The sequence below is a fragment of the Homo sapiens genome, chromosome 20, assembly GCF_000001405.40.
Source record: "Homo sapiens chromosome 20, GRCh38.p14 Primary Assembly".
In the NCBI taxonomy this organism is placed as follows: domain Eukaryota; kingdom Metazoa; phylum Chordata; class Mammalia; order Primates; family Hominidae; genus Homo; species Homo sapiens.
Genome location: NC_000020.11, coordinates 45,144,367 through 45,159,807, shown reverse-complemented (window position 1 = coordinate 45,159,807; position 15,441 = coordinate 45,144,367).

The following is a 15,441-nucleotide window of genomic DNA, read 5'->3' as shown; positions in this document are numbered from 1 at the left end:
CTTTTTAATCTTTGTACTGGAGGTATAAATGATTTGCCCACCACCATTACAGTATTAAAGTGTTTACAATTTGACAGTGTGCTTACTTTTACCAATGAGTTTTATATTTTCATTTTATTTCATGAATCTTATCAGCATCCTTTTTGTTCAGCTTGAAAACTCTCTTCAGCATGTTTTGTAAGACAGGTCTTCTGGGTACTGTATTCTTGGTTGACAATTTTGTCTTTCAGGACCTTGAATAAGTTATTCTACTTCTTTTTGGCCTGCAAGTTTTCTGCTGAGAAATCTGCTGTTAGTCTATGAGGGTTCCCTTATACATGATGATTTGTATCTCTTTTGCTGCTTTAAACGTTCCATTTCTATCTTAAACTTTTAACAATATGATTATAATGCTTCCTGGTTTGAGTCTCCTTGGATTCATCTTAGTTGGTGTCATTTAGGCTTACTACTAGGATCAGGATTTTTTTTTTCCTTTGGCTTATGAAGTTTTGCCATCATTTCTTCAGATATGTTTTCTGTTCCCTTTTCTCCTTCCTCTACTTCTGACATGCCAATAATGCATAGGCTTTTCCCTCTTGGTAGTGTCCTGGAAGTCACTTAGGCTACCTTCACCCTTTTTCACTCTTGCTTTTGTTTTCTTGTTTTTTGTTTTTTTTTCTCCTTAGATTGGATGATTTCCAGTGGCCTGTATTCTAATTCACCAGTTTTTCTTTCTCCTTGATTTAGTCTGCTATTGAACCTCTCTATTGAATATTTCAGTTCAGTTATAGTATTCTTCAGATCCATGATTTCTGTTTGCTACTTTTTTATACTATCTCTTTGTTGAAATTCTGAGTTTCTTCTTGCATTCCCCTTCTGACCTCGCTGAGCATCTTTATAATCATTATTTTTAATTCTCTTTTGGGTAAATAACATATCCCCATTTCATTTGGGCTGGCTTCCTGATTTTGTTTGGTTTATTTATTTGTTTTGTTTTGTTCTTATATATTCCCATGTTTCTTTGTCTTTCTTGACTCTTTGTGTTGATTTCTGCATATTAGATAAGACAACTACAACTTCCAGTCCTGTCAAACTGTGATTTTGTAGGAAAAAAAAATTCCACCAATCCACCTGGTCAGAGATTTTAAGATGCTTCTCAAATATTTGTGTTTTTTCAGACTGCTGGCTCTGTTTTTGATGTCTCCATAGAGCTTAGGATGTGCCTCCTCCTATCTGTACCCAGAGACTGCTAAGGTAGAAGCCTGACTCTCTAAATGTAACTGAAAGGATTGGGATGATGAATGTGTGTTCCAGTTTCATCTATCTTCGCTGAAGCTGAGCATGGGCATTATGGTCCAAAACTCTTTGCAGTAAGCCAGGGAGATAATCTGTGGCAAATGCTGTGCTCCTGTTCAGGCTGCACCCTCTGATCGTGGGAAATGCTGTGCTCACACTGATGCTGCACCCTCTGATCATAACACCCTCTGCTATAGACAGATAGCTTCTGGAACGAAATTGTTGTAAAACCACTTCTTTGTTTTCTGTAGTTTAGGGCAGCTCAGGAATACAAAGCCCCATTGACTCTCACAGCTAAGTTGTTAAAGAGATAGTCCATTTGGTGAGAGCTATAAAACTTGCAGTACTTGGTCCATAGCCAAACTCCTTCCAGGAAGAATGAGTAAGCCTAGATTTATCATTGGGCAAGCTGGATGGAAGTCTCAAGAAGTGCCAAACCCTTGCTCTGGCTGTCAGAGGGCTCTTGTTTGTTTACCCCATTAACTCCCAAATGCAAGTTCATTAATAGCTAGGCCATCACTTAGCCACAGGAAGAGTGTGCTGTAAGCCCTTTCTGGAGAGAAAATAAGAGCTGCACATTCTTGCTCCTTTTCTGTACTTCTTCAAGGGGGAGTAGCCCCTGGAATTTGTTGCACTCCCATTTAAAACCAACTTTTTTGTTCCATGATCTAGAAAGACTAGAATATGCTTGTCCCCCTGTTCACAGAGCTAAGAAGTTTAAGGAGTCCTTCAGGAGGTAGCTGTCTGACTTGGGGCAACTGATACATGGCATAAACACTTTCTGGGGAAAAATGGGACAGGGTTTTTCTATACCTCTTCTCCTTACTCTTCCTGGGCGATGTAACCCCAGATGTGCTCACATGCCCATATAAAACTGTCACTTTTTTTAACTGTGGTTGGAAGAGACATGCATTCCAGTCTCCTCTACTCCCAGAACTAGGAGGATTAGTTCCCTCAGGTGGAAATTGTAAAAGTTGGGGCACTTGATGTGTGAAATGTGTGAACAAATTCCTTCCAGGTGGAATTAATAGACTTAATTATCACTGCAGTGAGCTGGAGAAGAAAGCTTGAAAAGTGGCTATCTACTTCTCAGGTTAACACTTGTCTGCTTCTTTAACTCCCCAATGCAAGTTAGTTAGAAGCCAGGCCACTAGGTAGCCACTGGAAGAGTGTGTCATAAACCCCTTCCAAGGAAAAAAGAAAAAGAAGCTGCATTTTTATTGTTGTTATTGTTGTTTGCCTTTTTTCTTCCTTTCTTTCTTATTTGTTTTATTTGATCAATTCTGCCTTTGACATTCTTAATTGTATCTTTTTCATTTTATTCATTGCATTTTTCAGGTCTAATATTCTGTTTGATCTTCAAAAATTATATTCAATCTCTCTGTTAACATTTTCTCATACGTTTCTGAATTGATTCTGTATTAGTCTGTTCTCACACTGCTATAAAGGACTGCCAATGACTGGGGAATTTATAAAGAAAGCGATTTAATTGACTCACCATTTTGCATGACTGGGGAGGCCTCAGGAAACTTACAATCATTGTGGAAGGGGAAGTAAACACGTTCTTCCCCTTCCATGGGAAGGGGAAGTGCCAAAAAAAGGATGGCACTTCTGTTGGCAGGAAGGAGAAGTGCCAAACAAAAGGGGGAAAAGTCCCTTATGAAACCATCAGATCTCATGAGAACTCACTCACTATCATGAGACCAGCCTGGAAGTAACCACCCCCATGATCCAATTACCTCCCACTGGGTCCCTCCCTTGACACATGGAGATTATGGGAACTACAATTCAAGATGAGATTTGGGTGGGGACACAGCCAAACCATAGCATTCTGCCCCGGCCCCTCCCAAATCTCATGTCCTCACATTTCAAAACACAATTATGCCATTCCAGTAGTCCCCCAACATCTTGATTTATTCTAGCATTAACCCAAAAGTCCAAGTCCGAAGTTTCATCTGAGACAAATTAAGTCCCTTCCACCTATCAGCCTGTAAAATCAAAAGCAACTTAGTTACTTCCTAGATACAATGGGGGTACAGGTATTGGGTAAATACACCCATTGGAAATGGGATGAGTTGGCCAAAACAAAGGGGCTACAGGCTCCATGCAAGTCCAAGATCCAATGAGGCAGTAATTAAATCTTCAAATTCCAAAATAATCTCTTTTGACTCCATGTCTCACATCCAGGTCACGCTGATGCAAAAGGTGAGCTCCACAGCCTTGGGCAGCTCTGTCCCTGTGGCTTTGCAGGGTACAGCCCCCCTCCAGGCTTCTTTCATGGGCTGGCATTGTCTGTGGCTTCTCAAGGTGCACATTGCAAGCTGTCAGTGGATCTACCATTCTGGGGTCTGCAGGATGGTGGCCCTCTTCTCACAGCTCCATTAGGCAGTGACCCAGTGGGGACTCTGTGTGGGGACTCTGATCTCATATTTCCCTTCCACACTGCCCTAGCAGAGGTTCTCCATGATGGCCCTGCTCCTGAAGCAAACTTCTGCCTGGACATCCAGACATTTCCATACATCCTCTGAAATCTAGGCAAAGGTTCCCAAATCTCAATTCTTGAGTTCTGTGCACCCACAGGCTCAACACCACAAGGAAGCTCCCCAGGCTTGGAGCTTGCACCCTCTGAAGCCATGGCCTGAGCTGTATCTTGGCCCCTTTTAGCCATGGCCAGGATGCAGGGCACCAAGTCCCAAGACTGCACAAAGAAGCAAGCCCTGGACCCAGCCTATAAAACCACTTTTTCCTCCTAGGCTTCCAGGCCTGTGATGGGAGGGGCTGCTGTGAAATCCTCTGACACGCCCTGGAGACATTTTCCCCAGTGTCTGGGCAATTAACATTTGGCTTCTCATTACTTACACAAATTTCTGCAGTAGCTTCAATTTCTCCACCAAAAATGGGTTTTTCTTTCCTAGCACATCGTCAGGGTGAAAATTTTCTGAACTTTTATTCTCTGCTTCCCTTTTAAATATAAGTTCCAATTCCAAGCCATATCTTTGTTAATACATAAAACTGAATGCTTTTAACAACACCAAGTCACATCTTGAAAGCTTTGTGGTTAGAAATTTCTTCTGCCAGATACCCTAAATCATCCCTCTCAAGTTCAAAGTTCACACAGATCTCTAGGTCAGGGGCAAAATGTCAACAGTCTCTTTGCTAAAACATAGCAAGAGTCACCTTTCTTCCAGTTTCCAACAAGTTCTTCATCTCCATCTGAGACCACCTCAGCCTGGACTTCATTGTCCATATCACTGTCAGCATTTTGGTCAAAGCCATTCAACAAGTCTCTAGGAAGTTCCAAACTTTCCCACATCTTCCTGTCTTCTTCTGAGCCCTCCAAACTGTTCCAATCTCTGCCTGTTACCCCATTCCAAAGTCACTTCCATATTTTGGGGTATCTTTACAGCAGCATCTGACTACTTGGTAACAATGTACTGTATTAGGCCATTCTCATGCTGCTATAAGAGACTGCCTGAGACTGGGTAACTTATAAAGGAAAGAGATTTAAATGACTCACAGTTCCACATGGCTGGGGAGGCCTCAGGAAACTTACAATCATGGTGGAAGGGGAAGCAAACATGTCCTAATTCACATGATGGCAGGAAGGAGAAGTGCTGAGCAAAAGCAGGGAAAGCCCCTTATAAAACAATCAGATCTCATGAGAACTCACTCACTATCATGAGAACAGCATGGAGGTAACTGTCCCCATGATTCAATTACCTCCCGGTGGATCACTTCCACTACACATGGGGATTATGGGAACAACCATTCAAGATGAGATTTCAGTGGGGACACAGCCAAAGTATATCAGATACTCTGTAGGGGTTTTTTTTGAAATTTGTGGAGCTTCCTTAAAACAGCTATTTTGAATTCTTCGTTTGAGAAATCACACATCTCCATCACTTAAGGGTCAGTCTTTGGCATCTTATTTTGTCATATTCGGTCAGGTTATATTTCTCTGAACGCTCTTGATGCTTGTGGATGTGCAACAATGTCTACACATTTAAAGATTAGATATTCATTTTAATCTTCACAGTCTGGCTTTGTTTGCTCTTATTCTTATTCAGAGGGCCTTCCAGAGATTCCAAACAGACCGCTTAATGAGTTTCCTGTATCTGAGACCATTGCAATTGTCTCAACACTAGAGGACACTCTGAGCCCAGGCTTGCTGTAAGTCTTGCAAGGCTCTGAAGTTAACGCAGATTTCTAGTTTAAATGGACATGCAGAAGACCCAAGGAGGGTACTGGGGACATGTGGGAATGCTGGTGAGAAATCATAGTCCAAAAATGTTGCTATGTCTCAGATGGATGAAATTTTTTGCAGGTCTCTACATAGGCAGATGGGTTCCCAACTGCAGTGAGAGTGGCTAGAGTTGAGACTGGGCTCACTTGGGATCTACTGTGGCAAGAAGTCCATTCATGGGACAGAGACTGGCATGCCTGTCATGTTGGCTCAGGCAGAAGCACATTTTCAGGGAGGACTCTGAACAAGTGGCATAGTTCCCCAATTGCAGCAGGGTTGGCTGGAACTGAAACTGGGCCCTCTCATGATCTGCTGTGGGGGAGAGAATGGAGTGTCCATCTCATTGGCTCAGATAGGCACACATCTTTCAGAAGATTTTAGCACATGTGGTAGTTCCTCAATTGCAGTCAGAAGGGGAGCTGAGACTGGGCCCCCTCACAATATGCTGTGGGGCAGAGGCTGAAAACCTGGTCTCATTGGTTTACAGGTAAGCACGTCTCCCAGCAAGTTCCTGCACAGACAAGAGAGTTTTCCAATTTCAGCAGGAAGGACAAAAGCTGCAACTGGAATCCCCTCAGGATCTGCTGTGGGATGGAAGCTGAAGAGCCAATCTTTTGGGTCCAGGCCAGTACATGTCTTCCAGCAGATCTCAGCACTGACAGGATAGTTCCCCAACTATGGCAAGATGGGCTGGAGCTTAGAGCAGATCCCATCTAGACCTGCTGTGGGACAAAGGATGGCATGCCTATCCGGGAGGCTCAGACTGCTGGCCTGTGAGATATGTATGGGTCTCCCTGTGAGTTGTGTAAGCAGCTCTAAGCTGGGACTTTAGTTGATGGGGGCTGGACAAAGCCACAGGGCAACTTTCAGGTTCACTATCCAGACAATGTCAGTGTGCAGAGCAGCCTTTCTGCCAAGTGTGTGTAATTCCTTCTGGACCCCTTGGCAGATGGTTTTGGTTGCAGGCTAAAGTCAACATGGTACAGTAGCCAAACCCTGGGAGGACTGGGCCACTTCCAGGATTGAACTCGCGAGCAGCAGGTTCAGCAGATCAGCCACCTGGGTGTCTGTCTGCACTCTCAAAATAATCCTCTAAGGGCTTGAGCTCCACTGGCATTTCACAAATTTCTCCCTGGATCCAGAGGCTCCCTCAGAGAGACTTTAACCTGTGAATGGTGTAGAATTCTTATGGTTGTGGTGGGACACGACTGGGTGACCTTCTATTTCACCATCTTGGTGATGTCACTCCTTCCTCAGCAGTGGGGTGTGTGTGTGTGTGTGTGTGTGTGTGTTTTGGTCAATTTTGCAAAGCTTTAAGCTTTATAGTGGGGCTGGAAAGGGCAGGTAAGTGTGAGTCCCCAGCACTGGGATTTGTTGTTTGTTCCCTTTTCACTGACAGGTATTTTGTATTTTTGGCATTCTTTGTTTTCAAGTTATGTTGAGGGTGAAGTTTGCTTAGGAATTTCTTAATGATAGAGTAATTTTATACCACTTGAGGAGGAGATTGTGGAAGTTACTCATTCCTCCTCTTCTGCCTTCTATTGTCTTCAACTATGCCAAAGATCCCCTAGAAACTGCTCACTGAAAGAACTTGGAGAAAAATTATTAATGCACTTGATGGAGATCAACTCAGAAAAAAGAAACTGTGAGTCATGTCTTGGGCGAGTTGAAAAGATGTTAATTTTCTTGCTGCCATTTCATTGCTTCCCTCTGCAATAATTCTGAATGTGATCCATGCATTGGATGTGTCCTCCAGACACAAATCAAGTTTCAAAGGCACGTATGGGGTACCAGTTCTCCCAACTTCCCAAGCAATGAGAGGTGCTGTTACTAGGGAAGACAGCCTTGTCCAAGGAGTGCTGGAACCAGACAAGGGCTTGGAGACCCAGGACTTCAAAGAGAGGTATGAGGCCCCAACATGTTTCACTTTGCTGCCCCTGCATGGCCTCCCTAGAGATATTGACACTTGATTAACAAAACAATTCTTGAAGGGCATAAGGAAGAAATAAAATCACTGTAGAGAGATGTATTTTCCCTCTTTGCTTTATCTTGATTGCACGGACCCCTGAAGAAAGGAATGCCTTTCCTAATTTCACTCAGTAAGTCAAGCCCAGAATACAACTGGCTCCCTGATTCCCAGACATGGGTTCATTGTACCATTGTATGAAAAGAGCTGACTTGATCCAATTGTTTCAAATGTAATTTCTATGATTCCAACTGATGTCTGAAGATGTCTCCTGATATTTGGAGCTTGTCATTATTTCCAATTAATTTGAATTTCAAAGGAAATTATTAATTGAAAGGAAAAAAGAATTCACAGCATGATCAGGGTCTATTTTGGAGAGAGAAAATTTTGGAACACGTGTCCTTTGGTTTTAGGCCTATCAAGACGTGGTCCTGCCCACCTAGAAGACTGTGTAACTGGGTAGAGAAGAGAGTCTGTTTACCCACATTCGCTTATCCAGCTTCATCCTCCTTCTAGGCACCATTTGTTCTCTGATTCCTTTCTGGAATTCAGGAACTGACAGTACTGTGCCATCTTCCAGACCTAAGTCCTACTCCTAACGGACATCAACAAATCCCTTGTTCTCACTAATCTCAGTAGCACCATCTGGAAAAGTGAAGGCCTGAGCATGTGGAGGTTTCTGAGCCCCTCTAACAGAGCCTCCAAACTACCTAGAGGTTTCTGAGGGCACATCTGAATATGTGGGTAGGAAGTTAGAAGAAGGGGGAAAATGACTGGATTTGGGGTCTGCCTTGCACATTTAGATTACCTAAAACACCATTCAAACCACTCACAGTGGCTTCATGAGTACAGCAAATGTGAAGTTTTCAGTTATAGGAGGAGACACATATTCTCTATCCTACTCCTCTTGCTCCCACCACCTAGATCCAACAATGCAACATCCACCAGGACCCTGATTTCCTTCTGAGCCCAAGAGCCCGTGCTAATCCCTGAGGTTCCATAATCATCCTTGAGGAGTAATAATAGAGCAGCTACTGGACTCCTTAAGGAAAACTCAAGCCACTTCTTATGCCCTGTCTGGAACTGGGACAGAGAGACTCTCTTTCATCCAGTCATATGAGCCAACCTTCTCAGGGTAAGCAGGTGCCAGCACTAGGAGGTAAAAACAGGAACCCACTGTTTATCACTTCTTAGTATGTCCCTTAATCACACAGCCTTCCATCCAATTTAGAACAGAAAGTAACCCTCAGTGTTTGAGCTCAGATCACGTAGAACCAGGGGCCCCAGCTAAAGGAAGAATAAGGCTGTGGTATAAGGGTCTACCTTTTCTGCTCAATGTTGGACTCCTCTAATGGAAAATTCTTGCTCCAGAGCTCCCTGATGGGTTGCCAGAGATGTTGTCAGGTCAGGTTGGCAATGGCATCCTCTGCCAGTCCTTCTTCCTTTCCTTTACTGTAACAGGTGTGACCCCACAAGGCAACTTGCCCTCTTAGCTGTGTCTCAGCTCTTGCTTTCTGGATAACCCAATCTGTAAATGCGGCTTACAGAATTTTGAGAAGACGGAAGATTCAGACTCAGAGGCAATGTAAGAAGTAAGAGTATCCAGGCAGCATGATCACAGCCAGAACCACCCCTCAACAATTGTGTGACATGGGTCCTACTGCTGCAATCCTGGACACTCATCACTGTCACCCATGACCCTGAAATCAGGTGTCACTGTGAACAACAAAACTACCTTGTGCTAAGAAAGAATGCCCCTTTATCGTTGCTGCTTTTAGTCTTTTAGTTCTCAATGCTCCAGGTAGAAGCATCATTTGCTGAGTATATTATCAGCACAGCCCTAGGTCTAATGGGTAAAGAAAAGTGACTCTCTGGTTTGTTTCATTCCTGCAACAAGAGGCCAATTCTGTCACTCACCAAGTCTCAAATATGGTGTGAATAGGGAGGTGCCACAATGTAACAAAGGACTGCCACATTGTGAGCAGTCAAAAGCATACAAATCTCTCTTACACTGGATTTTCACAGGGTTCCAAACTCCCCATCAAACTCCAGGCACTCCTTACATTAGCAGGTGCAACAGAAACAGCAAAAATGTTGCCACCTCTGGAAGTAGAAGTCTACACTCTACAATCACCTTGAAAACATCCCTAAAATGTGTTTTCTCTTATTGAGCTAGACAGCGAGATACCCCTTTATGAGTTTCTCCGCCAGCAATAATTTATTTCACAAGATCACCTTTAATTGGCCTGACCTGTTTTTCTATCCATATTTTAATCGCAGGCTGCATCCTCAGCTTCTCCACACTAGATAATACTTTGTCCTCCCAGCCTAGTGCTTAGTGATTTTATGGGCACACATACCTCAACAATACCAGTCCCACAGCCTTTTTCTCTCCAATCACAACAGAGCACACCACTGCTGCCTCCAGGCATGGTGACACCACATCTGCCCACCAACATTGCCAAATTGGACACCTCTTCCACTTGTCTTCCTGGAAGTAGATACCCAGCCACTGATGCCACTGCTACCAGAGTAAACACTTCCTGCCATCTCCATATCTGCTTCTTTCTCTATCCCAGTCCTCAGTCCATCACAGAGTGTGTTCCTCTGACTGTATGAACCAGTGCACATGTGGAGGCTTCCAAGAAGGCAGGGAAGTAGGCATGTGGACTTTGCAACTTCTGGGAATGGTGCTCGTATGCTTAGAAACCAAGACATGAAGTTGTCCACACGACTGTTCTCATCTCATTGTGAGCACCAGAGCAGCTACTGTTCCCTGCTCTCCTCCACTCTGTGTTCTAGCCCCAGCTTGTGGCCTACATTTTACCCAACTGTATAAGCAAAGTGGAGATTGGAGACAGTAGACTCTCTAGGGCTTTTTGGCTGGATTCTCTAAACTACCTACTGCCTTGTAGTATCTCTGAGTGTAATGGTGAGGCGAGATCAAAAATGATGGGAAAGATGAGAAGTTTGGGGCTGCATGATGATACTGAAGTTACCCAGAGGTGCTAGTATGGTAATTCACTACTTGGAATTTGCATTGCAGACAGAAAACACATGGTTATTCAGGGACAGCCTCCTGCAACCATGCTCCTCCTAGAAACAGTTTCGCTAGCAGAGGAGTTTTTGCTGAGACTAAAAACTCTGCTATCATATTTGCAGGCTCTGTGTGCTCCACAGGGGTTGAGTAGAGAGAATCACTGATGACAATTTTGGGACAGTCTTCTTAGGATCTCCTTGTCCGGTACATGCTGGGATGGAGAGACTCGGTTCTAGCCAGCCATGTGTGTGTCTCCTGGAGTCCAGAATCACAAGGATCACGCACAAGCATCATGTGCTTCTTGGCTTATAATAGATCCCTGAGCCACAACCTTCTGTTGAATTTGAAGTTGGAAGTCCTCTTTGAAATAATCTCGATAAACACCCTCATCATGAAGATGGGAAAACTGGAGTCCAGGGGAGCCATCAAGCTTACTCTAGAAGTCAGGAGCAGACTTGGGGCTGGGAACTACCTGTCTTCATATGTCATTTCTCTTTGCTAGGATGTTGACCAAGGAAGGAAGATTTGGTAGCCTTTCAGGAAAGACTTGTGATGAACTCGTTTTGCCAAGACAGAAAGCAAAGTAATAGCAGGAATCAGAGTAATGGGATGACTGAGACAAGGTGTGCAATCAAAGAAAAACATAGATTTGGGGACACCATGAAGATGAAAGGAACGTGATTATAAAGTGACATACTGGCCAGGCGCAGTGGCTCATGCCTGTAATCCCAGCACTTTGGGGGACCAAGGCAGGTGGATCACCTGAGGTCAGGAGTTTGAGACCAGCCTAACCAATATGGCGAAACCCCATCTCTACTAAAAATACAAAAATTAGCCGGACATGGTGGCATGCGCCTGTAGTCCAAGCTACTTGGGATGCTGAGACAGGAGAATTGCTTGAACCCGGGAGGTGGAGGTTGCAGTGAGCTGAGATCGCGCCACTGCACTCCAGCCTGAGCAACAGAGTGAGACCTTGTCTCAAAAAAAGTAAAAATAAAAATAAAAAATAAAGTGACATGCCACAAAATGTCAAGTCTGCCAGCATCAACCTCTTCTGCATCACCTTGGCATCCTCACTTACAGTGATTCCACTGCACACATTTTCTGCTCCTCTATTGCAAATTCACGCTTCCCCTGGCAGAGACCTTAGCTTAGATCCCTGAAGTCTTTCTCATAGTAAGAAAGGTCTTAAGCGATCAAGGTATTCATTTCACAATAACTGAGACGCAGACTACTGGCAAATGAAATTTGCCCAAAATCAGTAGTAAAAAGACCATCCCATAGGAACAAAAAAATAACTTGTGTGTTTGTTTTAAATAACATTTATTTAATTTTGGTTGAAGTTGTATTTATTTTCATACATCTGTTATCTACTTACATTACTTTTCCCATAAATCATATATATGTGGTTCATGCTCATTTTTCTATTGGATCATCTGTTTTCTTTTATGTTATAAACGTTCTTTCAATGTAATATAGATTATATTTATTCCCACCACGAATGTACTCATATTTTTGAATTTCTAATTGCTTATATTACAATATGTTAGATTTTTCCCAACAAAATTTTTTTATTTGCATATGGTTAACAATACCAATTTGCTCCAGAAAGTCATTCCCATATCAACATTTTACAAAACTCCACTCGTGTTCTTTGAATACTTTTATAGTTCAATCTTTATATTTAAATTCTTGACCATCTGAAACATACTTTGAGATAACGTGTAAGATACAAATCCAGTATTTCCCCTGAATTGCTGGTAATCTGTCTTAATATCATTTACTGACTTATCTAACATTTCTTGGATAATGCAGGATTCTGCCTTTATTGTCTGCTAGATTTTCGAAGGCACCAAGTTTCTTTTTTTTCCACTGATATGTGTGTGTACTTCCTTCATTAATACCATATGTTCTAATTACGTTGACATGTTATTATGACAAAATTGGTAGCATTAAAATGTGTCATGGGTAACTCCCTTTTTCATGACAATTTACCCTCAATATATTTCTGGAAATTCTCAAATGCTACTTTATCAGGTGGTATGTTCAGTTTCCTTAATCATTAGATTTTCTGCCATGGAGCTGCCAACCTCCTCTTCATGGTTTACCACTAAAATTCCCATTGTTTTCAAGAACACTATTAGTCTAGACATTCCTCACACTCTGTTCCAAGATAATAGTCAGTTTCTTTGGGAGGACTTTGGAGCCCTCTGTTCTTATAGCTTAGGTTTCACCATTGGAAAATCAGTGAGCTTTTTCTATGGAGCTTTTTTTGGAAATAGTGGCCCACTTCTCTCAGGGTGGCAGCCTTGTTTTACCAACATGGTTCTGGGCATAAGCAGTAGCCTCTGATGTTGTTGGCATGCATTCCCTAACTTGAAAACTCTACCCTACTAATTAGCTGTGCCAGGGGGTATGGGGTCACAATATTCTTTACCTCCAATGCCTGGGGTACACCCTCTACAATACAAGTGGTGTTGGGTGGAAGAATGGAGCCTCATACCTCTTGGTCACACACACCTGCAATACAACCTCTACAACATCACCTGGGAGGGAGGTTAGGTGATGCCTGCAGCCTTTTCTTCTTAGAGAGACATCATAATCTTTGACAGGGAGGTGGGAGAAAAGGGATTTTCCCTGTTCTTGGCTATACATGCCCCAAGTGCAGCTTCCCTCATGCTGAGCTGGGAGGTAGAAAGTACATAGTGGGTTATGGCTCAAATGGCACGGGCACTCTGTGTTCTTTCAAGGTTTAGTAGAGTTTTAAAAATAAATGTATGCATGTAGAACAATTCCCAGATGGTTGTTTGGTTAAAGAGTATCTCCACAGAGCTCCTCACACTGCTATTGCAGAGCAGAAGTCACTGGGTTACTTGATTATTAGTATTGTCTACTGGAAATTCGGTAAGAGAGTAGATTTTATGTGGTCTTCCCAAAACAAGAAAACTATGTGGGATGATGAATATGTTAATTGGCTTGACTATAGTAATTAACTATGTATATGTATATCAAAACATCATGTTGTATACCTTAAATGTGTACAATAAAAATAAAATCTTAAAAAATTTTTTAAATAACTTTCACCAGCTGTGATTGTTGGTTTAGAGTAATTCATGGAGCTCTCCACACATCTATTCCCTAACAAGAGTCACCCAGTCATTCACTTCTTAATTACAAAGAAGTCAGTCTTGGCTCAGTTAAAATTAAATGGATCACAAAACCATTAGGGAACCTATAAACCCAAGTTATAAGAAAAGGCAAAAGCAAGCAAGGCTATGAATGCAGAATCACAGTCAAAATCAGCCAGATACTGGCCTTAGTGGAGCTCACTGGTGATACCTGAAAGCAGGTGGAGGTTACATGTCTCACAGCCAATGTCTCTACCATCATTTCCATTTCTCTTCTGAAAAGTCAAATACAGCTGCCATTGCTATAAATGTCCCAGGAATAAATGTTCACATCCTATTATCATTAGCTCCCAAGTCCAGTTTAGAGTTTGTGCATCATATGACATTAACCCAGCATGTGCTCATATGAGGTTGTCTCTCAGTGGAGGCAGAGAAAACAAGCATCCAGATTTTCCCGCTCTGTTATAAAAAGTGGCACAGCCTCTGGCTTCCAGGGCTTATATGGTAGTTAATTTCCCCAAAATAGGAATGAAATTATTACACTTAGAAGCCAAGAATGAAACTTGTTTACAATAGCCACCTTCATTACATCTTGGGTCCCAGGGAAAGAAAAACTTTGTGTTTTCCTTCCACAGATTTTGTTGTAGCCCCATCTGTGCTACCAACCTGATATAGGATTTTGGACAGTCTCTGTCCATTTCTAAAGCTGAAATTACCTTCTGGGGGAAAAAAAAACAACAGAAAAATAAGGGATTTGAGATTCGTGGGGCCCTCTGAGCAATCCTGACTGTGTTACTTCTTGATTGTACGGAGACTGATGGCCCCATTCGGGCAACCTTGGCTTCTTTGTTGGGGAGAAATGAAAAAAAGGAAACAAAGATAAAGGTTTCCATTTTTAAAAAAAATGTTAGAGATTACCCAGAAAAGGCAGCTGCGATGTTCAGTGTGACTTGTAAGTAGAGAAGTCAGAAAGTGTGGTTTTAGGCACAACTCAACTGACACCACCCTCCTCCACTGAAGACCTAGAGACCTCAGCACTACAAAGTTTTTCTGTGATAAGGAGCCCAGATAGCGTCTCTCCAGGCTCTGGGTACATTTCAGGGGTAGAGCAGTGAGCATCACTGATGACCTCAGGCACACTGGAGCCACTTGCAGACTCTGTTCTAGCCAGCCATGTGTATCTGACCCCAGGATTGCAGAGTGCCTAGGGGCCAGATAGGCTCCAGGTTCTTTCCAGCTTGTAACAGATGCCCTGAGCCACAACCTCCCATTGAATTTAGAATGAAATCCCTGCTGACATATCCTAGAAAACTGCCCTCCTCATACAGATGGGAAAATTATTTTGGAGTCCAGAACAGAGCTTGGAATTGAAAAGATCTGTGATGATTTCAAATCATTTTTCTTTCCACAGGTTGTCAACCAAGACAGGAGGATACAGAGGTCTTTCACAAAAGATATTCACCGATCAGCTTAGGTTGTCCCTGGTTGAAAGAGTTACAGTAAGAATGCCAGACCAATAAGACAATCCAAGCCCCAATGGGGAAAATTAAAGTAAATGTATTAATTGCAGCATTGTTTGTAACTGCAAAGTATTGAAAACAGCCCACACGCCTATACAGTGGAGAGTCATTGAGTAAATGGTGTTAATAGTACATCTATACAACAAAGTATTATGCAGCTGTTCAGAGGAATGGTGAAGATGGCTATAAACTGAGGTATGATTTCTAGATACATTATAAAGTGAAAGTGTCTTTAATAAATAAAGCAAAAGAAGAAAATATTCATTTTT